Here is an 18423-nt window from a genome sequence, read left to right as displayed (position 1 = left end):
TTCTCCTACATCTCAGAAGAGCAACCAAACTCATGACTCGACTCTACAAGTGTGCACCAGGTGCAGAGAGGAAGCAGTGATGGCACCTGTGAGACCAGCTCCGGACAAGGACAGCGGCAGCAGTTGGAGGGAGGGGATTAGAGTGAGGAGTGCTGCTGGGTGCTGATACTTCTCTCTGATCACAATGTGCATGTCTCTTATGAGATCTCCCCTCCCCACTGGCTCTCAGCAGAAAGTGGGGGAGCAGGAGGGCTTGTAAAGGTGGGGCAGGAGAACAGTGAGTGGGAATCCCAATATTCAGGATAGGCCATAAGGAGAAGAAAAAAGGAAAATGGCATGTATGTGTGCATTTTTCAAAGAGAGTGCTAGTGTCCATCCATCAGAGGTGGTGGTAGTTCCAGGTGCATGGATGACCCATGTGACCTAGCAGGTGCAATTCTTATACCCTATGCATAGGCATTGTTAAAGATCTGCTTGGTCTGTAGCTCAAAACCCACTACAGTTCAATTTTACTTCTATCACCTTTTGAAGGTGCTTAGTGGCCTCCTTCTTCTTCTTGAAGCACATCATAAATCTTTGAGCTGAGTGGCAGAATCTTATGGCTAATGGTTTTTGTTTTTTGATTTTTCTTAGCTGAATTTAAGATTCCAGATCAATGTTTTTCTTACTAATGATTTGCCTTGCTATATTCATTCTCTTCCCAAAGATTTATGTGTGTGTGTGTAATATGTTTAATATATGAAACAGTGAAAGATATAAACATGTATTTGCATGTGTGCACACACACACACAAATCAGAGAAGAGAGATTTCTATAAATAAGATACTCAACATGGTGGTACTCATTCTTCTACTCATATATCAGTATATTATTAAATTATATATATAGCTATTTTATTATTTTATAAAATATATAGCTATTTTATATACATGTGTATATATATATAGAGAGAGAGAGAGAGAGAGAGAGAGAGCGCTATTTCTCCTCCATTGAAAGCCTTTAGGGGAAATGTGAAATATGGCAGTATTAGTAAAAGTTTAAATTTAGTGTTACATTTTTATGCAAATTGCTATTTACATAACAATATCTTTTTAAATGTTACTATTATGTTGGTCTTCCATTAATTTTTACAGTATCAATTCTCTAAGCAAAGAATGCTCAGAAAGATAGTGATGCTGGTATTCCTTCAGTGAAGTTCTTTTCTACCCTGAAACATCAGAGTCTGTATATTCAAATGTATCCAGTAGATGAAAACATTCTACTGTTCTTCGTAACTTTCATTGCCAACCTCCTGATTGAGTGTTTTGCTTGATGTGAATCTGCTTAAAGGATATTTGCCTTTATCCTTTTCTTATTCTTATTTCATCTTTCAGCTTAAGTGTAAAATCTTCTGGTTTTGCCATTTTTATCCCACAGGACATCACTATGTCTCTTTAATCTTTTGTACTCATCTGATCTAGCTTTCCACTCTGCGTGGCTTTCCCATTTGGGTTTAAGCTGCTTATAGAATTCCTATTTTGGCTAATTAGATTTCATTCTGAAAGCCGAGGAGGGACTAAATATATCACTTTTTGCCCCTCTCTTCCTCCAAAAGAAAAAAGTTCTATCCCAGATGTAGGCGTCTGGAGCCCAAACAAGTGAGAGTCCAGACACCCATGACATAATGCATGTGGTATCAGCTTATGGGATACAATACAAGCTCCTACGCCCCAACTCCTCTTCCTGCCAAATTTCTCCCACCTGCTGCGGCTGTCTGCTGCTTGGAATAACTTTATCTGGGAGGTAAGTTTTTCATTCCACAATAGCAGGTATCAAAATGCACAGACACATGGAAGAGGGAAAATGATTTAAACTTATTGAAATTTACATATTCCTAGATTTAAGAGATTTTTTTTCTTTCTTCAGAGGATGTTTCTTTAGGAGGTAGATCCTAGGTGCCAAAAAGTTAAGAAGATGAAATTTTTCTACTTGCAAGTTTGTTCAGATATACCTTCTCTGGCAAGACTTATCCAGGGATATGTCGCACACGAGGAATGGCCATGGGACGGAGGATCTAGGCAGCTTTAGGCTGTGCTTTGGGGAGTACAGGTTAACCTAAAGCTCCTGTGCTCCTCCCACTTACTTCATCTTTTTGGTAGGCAACTTGAACTCAACGAAACTCCATACTCTAATATCTGGAGCAACATTGAATGGAATAGGCAGATTATTTTCCACTTCCAGCATGACCACAATTTTTACTCTCAGCATTTTAACACATATGGCCCATGAACAATATGTGGTAAAATAATTTACATTATTTTTGAGTGTGCAATTAACTTATTCTATATATATGTGCCTGTAGGCATAACTCCTTAGTAAAAGTGACACCACATTTTAAATGCTTCAGTAAAGATAAGAGTTAGAGAATCTATCAAAACATAACTAAGCAGGAAATGACAACAGCAAAAATATCAAAAGAAAACAATTAAACTCATCATCTTCTTTATGGTAGGTTATTAGAGAAAACTACAACAAAGCCCAAAAAAATCAAAACATACATGTTTTTCAGTATTAGTATTCACACTAAAAATACTAAATTTAAATATTAAATATTAAAATCATTTCATTTCTGAAATGTTTCAAAGCACACACACAATGAATTCTAACCTAATTAATAAGTATTTCAAATCATTACAGAAATATTATTCTAGTAATTACCAAAAAGACTCAAGAAAATAAATTTTAAAAAAATAAAGCATAGAATCAAAAATATTAAACTTATGCTTATGGATTTTCCAGAAACTTGGAAGAAACACCATTTCTGTTCTTGCAGCTGGCCAACACTTTGGTCCCTTCAGTCTTGATTATATCTATTCCTTTCACATACTTGAACTTGCCCATCATCAGTTATTGTTGCTATATATATATATATTCAATCCTTTCTTCCTTGCAGGCTCCTTTACCTTTACAAACATAATCCACTATATCAGTGTTCGAGATCCAAAGAACAAAATACTGCTCTTACAAAGTCTTTTATGGTAATTATTGGAGCAGCATCTCTTCACTTTTCACTTTTTAAAATAGATAATACATACACACAGTACAAAATTCAAAACAAAATACATTCCTTAAAAGCATATTTTACTTTTAGTCATTTTTACAGTATACTTTGTAAGCTTTCTCATTTACTATATTGCTAACATTCATCCATATGGTTGCATGTCACTATAATTCATTTATATAAACTAAAATATATTTCATTCTGTAAATATAACACAGTGCATTCAACCACTCTCCTGTTAATGGACAATTGGACTGTTTTCTATTTTTGCTGTTTGAAGAGTGCACTATGTATCTTTGTGCATGTGCAAAAGTTGTTCTTGAATATGGTCCCATAAATACGCAGGAGTGAAGAATGTAAATGTCCAACTTTAAGGAATAACACCAAATCTGTTTTCTTTTTTCTTTTCTTTTTTTTTTTTTTTTGAGATGACAGAGTCTTGCTCTGTCACCAGGTTGGAGTGCAGTGGCGCAATTTCGGCTCACTGCAACCTCCACCTCCTGGGTTCAAGCGATCCTCCTGCCTCAGCCTCCTGAGTAGCTGAGACTACAGGCATGCCACCATGCCCAGCTAATTTTTTGTATTTTTAGGGGAGGGAGGGTTTCACCATGTTGGCCAGGATGATCTGGAGCTCTTGACCTCGTGATCAGCCTGCCTTGGCCTCCCAAAGTGCTGGGATTGAAGGCGTGAGCCACCATGTGCGGCCACCAAACCTATTTTCTAAAGTGGTTAAAATGATTTGCACTCCCTTCAATGGTAAATAGAGGATTCTATATCCTCTCCAATAGTTGATATTGCCACACTTATCTTTGCCAATGAAAGTGATACAAAATGTTATCTAAGTAAGATGTTGATATTTGCATTTCCCTGATCACTAATGATGTTGAAGTTCTTTCTATATATTTAGTGAACATGAGTGTTTTCAGTAAAATGTCTGTTCATGTCTTTTGCCCATTTTACTACCAATTCTTTGAAATGTATTATTGATTTGTAGCTCTTAGTTACATATTCCTCAAATTAAATCCTTATTTGTTGTGTGTATTGCAAATATCTTCACCCAATTTGAACTTTGTTCATTATCACTAAAGTATATTTAGTGAACAAAATTCTTATCTCTAATTTACAGAAAGTTATTTATATTTTATAATCAGTTTTCTGTGTTGTCTAACCCATTTCCCATTTAGAGAAAAAAAAAAAGTGCAGCCTGTTGCCAGCGCTCATTTCTCGGGGGAAACACAAAATGGGTTAATTAATCTTTCATCTCAAGGTATAAAAGATATTCACCTATTTTTTTCTCTTAAGGTTTCCAATTTTATAATTTTTAAATTTAAGTTTTTAATTCATTTGAAGCTATTTTTGTATAAAGTACCTTTTTGCAAATGAATAACAATCTTTCAAGGTTCATTTATTAGGCATCCTTGCCTTTCTCTGCTTATCTCATTTGCCATTTCTATCAAGTTCCAAAGTCCCATTGTTAGGTGTCCTCTGGGCATCTACTCTTGTACCTGTTAACTTAGGTACACTATTGCTGGGACCAATCCTGTCTTATCTCCTATTATTTCCTAATAATCCTTAACACCTAGCAGGACATATTCCCCTCTCTCTGCTTGTTCTTCAAGAGTGCCATGGCTACTTTTGGCTTTTCATTCTTTCATATAAATTTTAGAAAGATTTTATTACTTTTCATAAAAATCCATCTTAGAACTTTATTGGAATTGCATTGAATCAATGTAGAGAGTACACCATCTTTGCAATAATACTCTTCCTATTGATAAACATGATACATCTCTTCATTTGTGTAGGTTTCTGTCAATATCTGCCAATGAGAATTTATAATTCCTGTACAAATGTTGCTCATGTTTTGTTAGATTTCTTTCTAGAGATGTGATTCTCTCTGACAACACTGCATGTGATATCTTGTCTTTAATTTTCTAGTTGCTTGCTGTGCGTTTATAGAACTAAAACTGTTTGTATGTTAATCTTGCTAAACTCTCCATTTATTTCCAATAATTTGTAAATTGAGATTTTCTATGTTAGCAATCATTTTACACAAACAATTAAAGCTTTACTTTATTTGTTCGAATTCTTAAGTTATCTTATTTTTCTTGCTTTATTTCACAGACTAGGACCTCCATATAAAATATTGAATAGAAGTAGTGATGTGGGCATCCTTGTCTCATTTCGAATTTTAAAACTGCCTTGCATCCTTAGAATAAACTTCATTTGATCATGATACATAAATATTTTTGTATATTGCTGAATTCTATTTTCTATTATCTTAATGATTTTGCAACTTTATTCCTAGGGGTTATTGTTCTGTAATTTTTTTTTTGTTTTGTTCAAACTGTCTTTATCTTATTTGAGTATCAGGATAATACTAGCTTCATAAAATGAATTGGAAAGTGTCTCTTCCTCTTCTATTTTTTTGTAAAAGTTTGTATACAATTCTTGTTAATTCTTCCTGAAACATTTGGTAGAATTCTCCAATAAAACCATCTGGGCCTGGAGATTTCTTTGTGAGGAAGTCCTTTAATTACAAATTCAATTTTCTCAATAGTTATAGGGCTATTCATATTATCTGTCTTTTATTGGGGAACTTAATGGCAGGTGCATTTTTTGAAGAATTTTATCTAAATTGTTAAATTTGTGTATATAGAGTTGCTCATAATATCGCTTATTATCTCCTTTTGATGCCTGCAGTGTCTGTAGTGATATTCCCTCTTTAATTTCTGATAATAGTAATTTGCGTTCTCTCTCTCTTTTTTCTTTGTCATTCATGCTATAGGTTTGTCAATTTTATTATTGTTTTCAAAAAACCAACCCTTTGTTTCATTGATTGTCTCTATCATTTTTTGTTTTCCATTTCATTGATTTCTGTTCTTATATTTATTATTTTATTTCTTATTATTGTTTTGAATTTATTTTAATCTTCTTTTTCTAAGCTATTGAGGTGGGAACTTAGATTACCAATTTTAGACTTTTTTTCTAATATATGTATTTAGCACTATAAATTTCCATATCAGCACTGCTTTAGCTGTGCCTCGCAAATTTTGATATGTTGTCACTTTGTTTCCATTCAGTCCAATGTATTTTTTAAATTTCTCTTAAGACTTATTCGTTAAGTCGTGAGTTATTTAGAAATCTGTAATTTCATTTACCAGTATTTGGAGATTTTCCTGTTATCTTCTGTCACTGTTTTCTAGTTTGGTTCCACTGTGGTCAAAGAACAGTTATGTTAAATTTGATGAGGTTTGTTTTATGGCCCAGGATGTGGCTCACACTGGTATGTATTTTGTGGGCTTTTGAAAAGAGTAGGTATTCTGCTTTTTTTGAGTGGAGGGTTCTGTAAATATTAATTAGATCCTGTTGGTTGATGCTGTTGTTGAGTTATTCTATGCAATTGATATTTATCTAGTCCTATCAATTGTTGAGAGAAAGGTATTGAAGTTTCCAACTATAATTTTTGTTGGATTTGTCTATTTCTCCTTTCAGTTTTTGCTTCACATATTTTTCAGCCTCACAAATTTTTCAGCTCTGTTGTTTGAAGCATGCACATTTAAGATTGCTGTGTCTTCTTGGTGGATTTACCTTTTTATTCCTGTTCATTTTAATTGCATGTGTCTATTTTATCTGATATTAACATAGCCAACTCCTACTTCTTCTGATTAATATTTGTATGATATATTACTTTACATTATTTTACTTTCAAACCATCTATATCATTACACTTAAAGTGAGTTTCATGCAGAGAGCTCATTGTTGGATCAATTTTATCATTCATTCTAGGCAAATCTATGACTTGTAATTGATATGTTTTGACCATTCACATTTAGTGTAATTGATATGTTAGGGCTTAAATCTGCCATTTTATATTTTTTATTTTCTGTTTGTCCTTTCCGTTTTTCATTTCTCTGTTTTCTTTTCCTTTCTATGGCTTACAGGGACATTTAAAATTTTTCGTTTGATTTATTTATAGTGTTTTTGAGTATAGCTCTTTGTACAGCTTTTTTAGTGGTTACTCTAGGCATTTCATTATATATCATTATAACATCACATTCTACTGTTGTTACTTCACCAGGTTAAGTCCTTTTACTCTCCCTACTTACAACATGATTGTCTTAAATACTTTCTCTACATACATGCAGAACCACACCAGACATTGTTACAATTTTTGCCTCAGCTATCAAACATAATTTAGAAAACTCAAGAAAAGGAATGTCTCTTGTATTTACCCCATATTTTTGCTTACTGTGTTTTTTCTCCCCTACTATGTTCCAAGGTTTATTATTTTCGTTCAGTCTGTAGAACTTCTTTTAGTCATTCTTTTAGGGTAAATCTCTTCATTTTCCCTCATCTGATTTCCCCTTCATTCCTAGAGGATATTTTCACTGAATATTGTATTCAGGGTTAACAGCTGTTTTCTTTCGACATTTGAAATATGTTGTGCTACTTCCTTCTGGCTTCTGTGGTTTCTAATGAGAAATCGACTGTCATTCCAACTGTTTTCTCCTGTAGTTAAGTTGTCATTTCTTTATTGCTGCTTTGGAGATTTTTTCTTTGTCTAGTTTTAGAAGTTTTACTATAATGCATCATATGGTTTGGCTGTGTCCCCACCCAAATCTCATCTTGAATTGTAGCTCACATAATTCCCACATGTTGTGGGAGGGACTCGGTGGGAGGAGGCGGTTTCCCCCATACTGTTCTCCTGTTAGTGAATAAGTCTCATGAGATCTGATGTTTTTTAAGGGTTTTCCCTTTTGCTTGGCTCTCATTCTCTCTTGTCTGCCACCATATGAGACACGCCTTTCACCATCCACCATGATTGTGAGGCCTCCCCAGCCACGTGGAACTGTGAGTCCATTAAGCCTCTTTTTCTTTATAAATTGCTCAGTCTCGGGTGTGTCTTTATCAGCAGTGTGAAAACGAACTAATACAATGTTTCTTGGTGTGCATTTTTTAGGGGTGGGGGTGGTTATCTTGTTTGGGCTTTGCTCAGCTTCTTAAATCCATAGGTGTATGTCTTTTGCCAAGTTTGTAAGTTTTCAGTCATCATTTCTGTAAGTTCCTTTTAGCCCTATTCTATTTCTTCTCTTTCCAAGACTCTGATGAAATGCACTTAGATCTTTTGTTATAATTACATGGATCGCTGCATCTTTGTTCACCTCTGTTCTTTCTTTTCTTCCAGACTATTTTCTCTGTGTTATTCTGATTGGATAATTACGATTGTTTCATCTCCCAGTACACTGATTCATTCCTCTCTGTTCCTCCACTCTAGTGTTGAGTCCATCCATTAAGTTTTTATTTTAGCTATTATATTTTGCAACTCTAGAATTTTCATTTGGTTCATCTTTACAATCTTCTATTTATTTGTCGAGGCTATTATTTTATTAGTTTCAAGTGAGCTTATAGTTTCTCACTGAAGCATTCTAAAACTCTTAGATGGCTACTTTAGAATTTTGTTAGATAATTCAAAGATCTTTGTTATTTTGATGTTTACATCAGTTGATTGTCCTTTTCTTTCTTTTTTTTTTTTTGTTGGTGGGGAGGTGTTGGGGGGAATAGAGTCATGCTCTGTCATCCAGGCTGGAGTGCAGTGGCACAATCTCGGCTCACTGCAACCTCCGCCTCCTGGGTTCAAGTGATTCTCCTCCCTCAGCCTCCCAAGTAGCTGTGATTTCAGGCACATGCCACCATGCTCGGCTAATTTTTTATGTTTTTATTAGAGGCAGGGTTTCACCATGTTGACCAGGCTGGTCTTGAACTTGTGACTTCACAGGATCTGCCCATATCAGCCTCCCAAAGGGCTGGGATCACAGACGTGAGCCACCGTGCCTGGCCAATTGTCCTTTAATTAAAAAACATATATATAGGCCAGGTGCGGATATATAGGCCGGGTGCGGTGGCTCATGCCTGTAATCCCAACACTTTGGGAGGCCGAGGCGGATGGATCACAAGGTCACGAGATCGAGACCAGCCTGACCAGCATGGTGAAACCCCGTCTCTACTAAAAATAGAGGCGCGTGGTGGCACGCGCCTGTAATCCCAGCTACTCGGGAGGCTGAGGCAGGAGAATTGCTTGAACCTGGAAAGCAGAGGTTGCAGTGAGCCGAGATCGCGCCGCTGTGCTCCAGCCTGGTGACGAAGTGAGACTCCGTCTCAAAATATATATATATATAGTATTAGATCTGCCCAGTTCTTGATCTGATGAGCAATTTTAAAATTGGAAACCTGGTCATTTTCAATTTTACTTTATGAGACTCTGGATTGCATTAAGCCTCTTTTTTTGCCAACTTCTTCTCATACCACTCAAGCAAATATGTGTGTGTGTGTGGGGAGGGTGTGTTATTACTGCCAGGTGGGGGTAGACATCTAGGTTTCTCTTAAATGTCCATTGATACCTGAGGGGTAAGGGCTCCTTATTACTGTTAGGGAAGGGTGGGAGGTTCAGCTACCCATGAGGCCTCCACTGATATCTGCCTGGAAGGGAGGAGTAGGGGTGCCTCACTAAAGATTCTCTGGTGTCTTCCACTGACACCATGGTGGGGCCCTCATTACTAATGGGTGGTGGTGAAGACCTAACTCTCTACTAGGCCTCCTTAATATCACCCTAGTAGAGAAGGGATGGGCAGATCATTACTGCCAGGTTGAGGTGGAAATTCAGCCTCCCTACATGGTCTCTACTGGCACCACCAGGGAAGCAGGCTTCATTACTGTCAACAGAAATAAAGACCTAGGCTCCCTACTCACCTTCCTCTGATATCATCCCAGCATAAAGATTGGGGTGCCTCTTTCAACTTTGCTTTATGTATTTTGAGGTCATTTTTATTAATTTTCACTATTCGTATCCCTAAAAATGCTCTTTTGAAAAATTTTAATGTCTATTTATTTTTATCTAATTTAAATATTTTTTCCCTGATCTGTCAATATTTACATTTTTGTCCATTTCTATTTATTAAAATTTTAAATTTTTTGAACATCTGTCTACCACTTATTTGTTTGTTTGTCTGCTTATTTTTGAGACAGGTTCTTGTTCTATCACCTAGGCTGGAGTACAATGGCGTGATCACAGCTCACTGCAGCCTTGACCTCCCATGCTCAAGCGATTCTCCCACTTCAGCCTCTGGAGTAGCTGGGACTACAGGCACGTACCACCAGGCCTGGCTAATTTTTGTAATTTTTGTAGAGACAGGTTTCACCATGTTGCTCAGGCTGGTCTCAAACTCTTGAGCTCAAATGATCCGCCCACCCCAGCTTCCCAACGTGCTGGAGCTACAGGCATGAGCCACCATGCCCAGCCCACTTAATTTATTTCCCATATTTTCTATGTGTCTTCTTAATCCATTCTCTGGATTGTTTTTGTATTTGGGTGTTTATATGACATTTTCATATACTTCATTTCCCTTCAACTCTCATTATGTTGACATTATCCAGATTTTCATATTTTAAGATTATTATGGATACACTATTTTATTTTCTTCTATCTTAGTAATGCTTTAAAGACAATAGCAGTGATAACAAAAAGCCACCAAAGTATTAAATCACTTTTACTTCATATTTTCATACTTTTTAAGATTATTATGGATATACAATTTTATTTTCTTCTTAGTAATGCTTTAAAGACAATAGCAGTGATAAAAAGCTACCAAAGTATTAAATCACTTTTACTTCATATATTTATTGCAGCTTCTCCTGAATTTGTCTCTTCACTTCCTTAAGTGCTTTATCTAAAACTCTTTTTGATAATGCTCTTTGAGTGGGGATCCTTCTGAGGTCTTATGTATGAGAGAATATTCTTATCTAGCCCTCATATTTAAATGACAGTTTGGGTAGATACAAAATTCCAAGTTCTAAATTATTTTTCTTAAATATTTTTACTACCACTATTTTTTTTAAATTGAGACAGGGTCTCACTCTATCACCCCGGCTGAAGGGCAGGGGCACTATTATGGCCAGTGGCTCACTGTGGCTTGGACCTCTCCGGGTTCAAGTGATCCACCCACCTCAACCTTCTCAGTAGCTAGGACTACAGGCATGCATCACCATGCCCGGCAAAAAACAAAAACGAAAACAAAAAAACAAAAAACAAAAATAAAAACCACTATTTCTTAAATTGTTTTTCAAAAACTATCATATCAATCTGATCCTGTTCCTCTGTATGTAATCTGCTTTTTTAGAACTCTCTTTTTCTTCAAAACTATTCAATTGAAATATGTTTCCTTGTAGGTTTTCTTTATCTGTTATTCTAAGGGCTCTTTCAATTTGAAGTCTTTCTTCCTTGTATTTTAAATTGTGGGAAATGTATTCCTTCCATGTTTTCTTTTCATTATTACTTCTTTTATTGGACTCTTATTAGCCAGAACTTATAACCATTATTTCTTTCCTTTGTATAGCTTTTTAAAAAAAATTTGTAATTTGTTTGTACTTTCCTTCATTCTTTCCTCAATCCTTTCTTCCAATTCTAATTTATTTTTCAGTTGTATTCATTCTGCCATTTATCTCATTACAGTTTTATTTCAGCTATCATGTTTTTTACCTAATATAGCTGCTTGAGTATATTTTTTATTCTTATTTCATATTACTACTAGTTTCTTATGTCTTAGAATTTTTATTAGGCTAATTTTAAATCGTTTGTCTTTCTAACAATGCTGCTTCTGATGAACTATGTAATCCAGTGTTTGTTTTTCCTTTGAAATAGTTGTGCTCCTGATAAGACCTATTAGTTTGGACTGTGAACTCATCTCCCCACGAGGGCATCAGGCAGTGTACGTGGGGAGAAGCCGGATTTCAGCCCTCATCAGAGTATTTAGTATGGGGGTAGGGGTGGGATGAATGAGACTTAGTGTGGAAAGTTTTCTGGTGGAGGCCCCAGAAAACCAAAGTTAATCATTCCTCGTTCCACAGAACAGCTCGTCAAGATTTTACTGTTTGCCCTTCTTGGGATACCATATTAAGAGACATTCCGTTCGGGTGCAGTGGCTCACACCTGTAATCCCAGCACTTGGGGAGGCCGAGGCGGGCAGGTCATGAGGTCAGGAGTTTGAGACCAGCCTGACCAACATGGTGAAATCCCATCTCTACTAAAAATACAAAAATTAGCCGAGTATGGTGGCACGTGCCTGTAATCCCAGCTACTCAGGATGCTGAGCCAGGAGAATCGCTTGAACCCGGGAGGTGGAAGTTGCAGTGAGCTGACACTGCACCACTGCACTCCAACCTGGGCGAAAGAGGGAGACTCCGAAAAAAAAAAAAAAAGAGACATTCCAATGCTGTAAATCCCCAGATCTGCAGATTTTGAGATGGAAAAAAGGAGGTAGAAAAGCGATCCTAGTTTAGTGAATCTACACCTGTTCTTCTCAGTATCTCACAGGATCAAGACTTTTATGCTGCCCTGCTCTTATGTTTGAAGCATCAGAGTCATTGCAAGTAGAAGGTTGGGTATTATTCGTCCCAAAGCAATGTTTGGAAAAGTAAGAGCAAAATTCCTAAATTCCCTTCCTATGTTAACCTCCCACAGAAGTGCTGCACCACCCCTGGTCTCAGATATGTCTCCCCCTAAGGTACACACACACACACACACACACACACACACACACACACAACTTCAAAACAGCTACTATTACCCCAGGAACTTCCCACAATTTTCTCCATAATTTGGTATTTTTCCTCTATGGCCATAAGTCTCAATTTTGGCTGTGTATTAGAATTACTTGGGGAGATTTTTTAAAATCTCAATGCCCAAGCCACACTCCTAGACCAATTAATTTAGAAGTTCTTAGGATGAGACTGAGACATCGTTTTTTTTCTTTTTTCTTTCTTTCTTTCTTTTTTTTTTTAACCATCCCAAGGTCTTTATTTATTTAGTTTATGCCTATCATGCCATGAATTCATGGGGAATAGATTCTAGCAGCTCGAGCTCCTTTTCTTTGGGTCTCAGAAAATGTGCTTCTCTGGGCAGAGCAGGCTGGTTTTTCGGTTGAACCTAGATCCCTTTCTCTTCGGCTTCCTTCTTTTTCTGATCATTTTCCTCCTACCATTTCAGGATGCTATCTCAGCTCTTAGAGTGCTTAATATGCTCAATATGTACATTAATTCTCTTGGCAAGAATCTTTCTCTTATCTTGTTTGTTTACAACAATGCCAACAGCATGCTGGGTTACACAGTAGACTCTTCCAGCTTTGCCATGGTAACACTTGTGCAGCATTCCTTTTCGAACAGTGCCCATTCTCTTGATGTCTACAGTATCACCTTTCTTGTAGATTGGCACTTATGCGGCCAAAGGAACAACACCATGTTTTCTAAAAGGCTGGAGAAAATACCACAGGTGCCTCTCCTCTTTCCCTTCATCTTCATCATTTTGACAAATTACTCAAAGATGGAGGGTGCAGTTGAAAGCCAGCCATCATTTTTTAAAACTTCTCAGGACATTGTAACATGCACTTGGGTTGAGAACTGCTACTCGAGCTTCTCCAGGAGGCCCTTGGAGGTAGGAACCAGCATTTGGGCTACTTTAGCATCTTAGTAGAAACTGAAACCAAAAATGATCTCCCATGGCCACCATGGCCAAACATAACGGTAGTTTCTAGCTCTCTAACCTCTCTCCCTGACATCTCCACAGCACTTGGCCTGCCCTCTTGAGAGTCTTTTCTTTTTTTCTTTTTCTTTTCTTTTTTTTTTTTTGAGACAGGGCCTCACTCTGTCTCACAGGCTGGAGTGCAATGGCACATTCTTGGCTCACTGCAGCCTCTGCCTCCCGGGTTCTAGCAATTCTCATGCCTCAGCCTCCCAAGTAGCTGAGATTACAGGCATGCACCACAATGCCCGGCTAACTTCTGTATTTTTAGTAGAGACAGGGTTTTGCCATGTTGGTTGGGCTGGCCTCGAATTCCTGACTTCAAGTGATCTGTCCATCTCGGCCTCCCAAAGTGCTGGGATTACAGGCATGAGCCACCACGCATGGCCCTGCCTTCTTGAGATTCTTGCTGAGACTGTACAAGGCGTTGACTCTTGTCTAATCTTTTGCACTGCTCCTCTGTCTCCTTTCCCATCAACATTCTAAAGTTGGCTGCTTCTCAGTATTCATAATCCATGGTTCCTCTTTCTCTCCAAGAACTCTGCCAGCATGTACATTTATAAAACCACATCTCCAGCCCTAACCACTCTCATGTGTTTTTTCTCTAATACACCTCCATTTGGATGTCATGCTGGCATCTCAAATTCAATATATCTAAAAAGGAACTCATAATTTCTGCATAAAACAGCACCCCCTTACGACTTCCTTTATCAATCTAGCTGCCATTTTCAGGATCATTTTTGGTTCTTCCTTCAACAGTCTATTTCCAGTGTTCAGTTGGACTTTTCTGTGCAATATCACTTCTACGTAATTAACATCTTTCAAGTTCAGATCCTAACAATTTCCTGTCTAGATTATTGAATCAGCCTCTTGCTCAATATCCCTCACTTTGTTACTCCCTACCACAAGGTCATAAATACACCATTGTCAGTTTAATATAGGATAAAATTGCAATCATGTGACTCACAACTTATTGCTCAAAACCCATCACCAAAGTACAAAGCCCGTGGCATCCAATGCCCTTCAGTATGGCCCAAACTATCTTTCTGACCATGCTTGCACCTATTCCTCCACACTAGATGGGATGTTTTTTCTTTTTGAAATGGAAAGAACATAAACTTTGAATCAGACAGATTTGGTTTTAAATTCCCTGCTACTTCTAACTTGGATAAGTTTCTAAAACAACATGAGCCTCAGTTTTCACAACTAAAAAAACAGAAACAAATATGTAAAATATTATAAATTAGTAAAAGAAAAAAGGTGAATAAAACAGAGACATTAATAGCTAATAGAACTGTTTCATATAAATTCTAGTTTTTTTTTTTGTTTTTGTTTTTGTTTTTTTTGAGACGGAGTCTCACTCTGTTGCCCCAGGCTGGAGTGCAGTGGCACAATCTTGGCTCACTGCAACCTCCACCTCCTGGGCTCAAGCCATTCTCCTGTCTCAGCCTCCCATGTAGCTGGGATTACAGGCCCCTGCCACCACGCGTGGCTAATTTTTGTATTTTTAGTAGAGACGGGGTTTCATCATGTTGGCCAGGCTGGTCTTGAACTCCTGACCTCAGGTGACCCGCCCGCCTTGGCCTCCCCAAGTTCTGGGATTACAGGTGTGAGCCACTGCGCCCAGCCTAAATTATAGTATTATGTTTTTTGTTAGATCCTAAACTTCCCTGCTGCACCTGGACTTCGTTGTTGTTGTTGTTGTTGTTGTTGTTGTTGTTTTGTGCCTTTTTTGTTTTGGTTTGGTTTTTAGCCTTTGTATACAGCTGTTTCTCCTGGCTATGCTCTATATCAAGGGTTGACAAACTATAGCCCACAGACCTACTTTGGGCTTAACCGAGACATACCTATTCATTTAAGTATTGTCATTAAGTATGCTACAACAGCAAAGGTGAATTATTGTGACAGAGACCATATGGCCTGCAATGCTTAAAAAATTTGCTATCTGGCCCTTTACAGAAAAAGTTTGCCCACCCCTGCTCTAGCCTCTCTTTCTTTACTCATGCTATAGTATCTCCCCAGGTATTCTGGGTTTAAAATATGTCCACAAATCCTCCAACAAAACTAACTTCAAAAGGTGGAGCCCCCATCCCCTTGAATATAGGCTGGAATTCGTGACTTGCTTGCAACAAATAGGACATGGCAGAGGTGTCAGTGTGTGACTTCTTAAACTAGGTCATAAAGGGCACTGTGGCTTCCACTTTGCTCTTTTTAGATCACTAATTCTGGAAGAAGCCAACCCCCATATCATAAAGACACTCAAGCAGACTGTGGCGAGTCCCACATGGAGAGAAGCTGAGGCCTCCTGCCAACAGCCAGCACCAACTTGCCAGGCATGTGGGAGCCACCTTAGAAGCTGATACTGCAGGCTTGGTCAATCCTTTAGAGGAACTTGCTGACTTGCAGGCCCAGTCCACATCTTGGCTCAAACCTCAGAACAGACCGTAAGCCAGAACTATCTGGCTAAGCCACATTCCAAATACCCAACCCATAGAAACTGTGAGGATAATAAATACTTAATGTTGTTTTAAGCCACTAAGCTTCAGGTTAATTTCTTATACAGCAATTGATAACTAATACATAAGAAAACCTTCATTTACCATCCACTGACCAAAGACTCAAATATACAACCACAGCCTGGACCTCTCCTATGACCTCATACCTTCATATATAACTACCTATTCCACATCTGTTCCTAGAGATCTCAAAGGCATCTAAAACCCAACATGTGTGAGACTTTGGTCTCTTTCCCTCAGACAGGATCTTCCTCCAATATTCCCTATCCCAGTTAATGGCATAATGAGCTTAATCCATAAACTACAACTCTGGCCTTCTGTGATACTTCTTTGTCCTTCACACCCTATATTCAATCCATTATCAATTTCAGCCAAATTAACTAATATGTAGTTTTTAAATCAGGATGTTACCCTCCAGCAGTACTATAGAGATGCTCTTTCATTGTCTCTGGCATCTGCTGATCATGAGAAGTCTTCTGTAAGAGCATCATTCTTTGAAGGTAATCTATCTTTCCTTCTGATAGCCTTTGATGTTTTCTGAATAACCTTGAGCCTAAACCTGGGTTTGCTTTTATTCATCCTACCTAAGACTTGGTGTGATCTTTACAATCTGAAGACATATAGCTCTTCAACTCTCAAAAAACTCCATCGTCTCCCTGAATATTGCCTTTTGATTCTTGTCTCTATTCCCTGTATAACAGTTAGGGTCCAGTCAGACACACCAGTTATGTTAGTAGACAAAAATTAACCTAAAGAACTGTTGGCCGGGCGCGGTGGTTCATGCCTGTAATCCCAGCACTTTGGGAGGCCGAGGCGAGTGAATCACGAGGTCAGGAGATGGAGACCGTCCTGGCTAACATGGTGAAACCCCGTCTCTACTAAAAATACAAAAAATTAGCAGGATGTGGTTGCAGGCGCCTGTAGTCCCAGCTAGTCGGGAGGCTGAGGCAGGAGAATGGCCTGAACCCGGGAGGCGGAGCTTGCAGCAAGCCGAGATCGTGCCACTGCACTCCAGCCTGGGCCACAGAGCGAGACTACGTTTCAAAACAAAACAAAACAAAAACAACAACAACAACAAAAAGAACTGTTAATCAGGGCAAAAAGAGGGCATTGAGGCATGGAAGGAACTGCAGAAGGATGCTACCCCACTAGGGTTAAGGGACTAAAAGGATGAGATTAGAATTACTAACATTTAGAAACTTGGAGGAAGGGCCCTGCAGAATTGGAATTAATACCTTTGAGCAGAGTCTGCTGGCCTGTTGGTACTAGCGTTTCTGAGGGATGCAACGAGGTTGGTTATGCAAGTTTTGGAACAACTGCAAATCGAAATAACTGCTGCTACCAGGATGAATTCCACTACCAAGACAGGCATTAAACATCATTCCTAAGGCACTCACCTACTCTCAGAACTCAATAGACTGAATCTTCAACTTGCAACAATGGCTTTGTTTTTGACATGCGTCAATTTCCCTTTTGCTTTCCAGCTCAGCTATATATTTTAAGTGTGTCTATGTATTTGCAGCAGATAGAAGTGATTCCTTTCACCAGCTTAGTCATTTGTCAAGAGTTTCTGTGCACTTGTCTTCATCCCTGTAGGGCATTACCCTAACCCAAAACATTATCATTTCTTCCCCAGACTACCAGTACCATCTTCTAACTTGTCTACCTGCCTTCATTCTAACATGTCCACCATCTTTTCTCCACCCTGCAGCAAATGTTTTGTAAACACCAATCTAAGAACATTATCTCTTGGACGGGCATGGTGGCTCACACCTGTAATCCCAGCACTTTGGGAGGCCAAGGTAGGTGGATCACCTGAGGTCAGGTGTTCAAGACAGCCTGGCCAACATGATGAAATCCTGTCTCTACTAAAAACACAGAAATTAGCTGGGTATGGTGGCATGTGCCTGTAGTCCCAACTACTCAAGAGGCTGAGGCAGGAGAATTGCTTGAACCCAGGAGGCAGAGGTTGCAGTGAGTCGAGATCATGCCACTGCACTGCAACCTGGGTGACAGAGTGAGATTCTATTTCAAAAAAAAAAAAAAAACCCATTGCTCTTACAATAAAGATAAACATGTTGCATATGTCCAACAAGGCCTTGTATGTACTGACCCAGTGCCATCTTGCATTGTGCTCCTTCTTTTCTGTGTTTCCTGGCCACTCTGGCCTCCTTTGCTATTTTCAAATAGGACAAAGCCTTTGCATATGCTGATGCTCCTATCTGCATCAGTCCTCTTCCCAATTCTGTCCATTTAATCACCACTCATCCTACAGAAAACAAGTCAAATTCCTCCAA

General features: G+C 38.3%; 1 protein-coding gene and 1 pseudogene across 1 annotated transcript in view; one reads left to right on the top strand and one right to left on the bottom strand.

Annotated features, from left to right (window-relative positions):
* RPL21P126 (ribosomal protein L21 pseudogene 126) lies at positions 12880-13432 on the bottom strand (annotated as a pseudogene).
* TCF4 (transcription factor 4) overlaps positions 13269-18423 on the top strand; it is a 413773-nt gene continuing 408618 nt past the window's right edge. Inside the window, exons 1-2 of the mRNA NM_001243226.3 lie at positions 13269-13523; positions 17838-17928. Coding sequence (NP_001230155.2) covers positions 13329-13523; positions 17838-17928 — 286 coding nt within the window. The 5' untranslated portion in view covers positions 13269-13328. The remainder of the gene's footprint in view (positions 13524-17837; positions 17929-18423) is intronic.

The sequence above is a fragment of the Homo sapiens genome, chromosome 18 (genome assembly GCF_000001405.40).
Source record: "Homo sapiens chromosome 18, GRCh38.p14 Primary Assembly".
NCBI lineage: Eukaryota > Metazoa > Chordata > Mammalia > Primates > Hominidae > Homo > Homo sapiens.
This window is presented reverse-complemented; position numbering and strand designations above follow the sequence as displayed.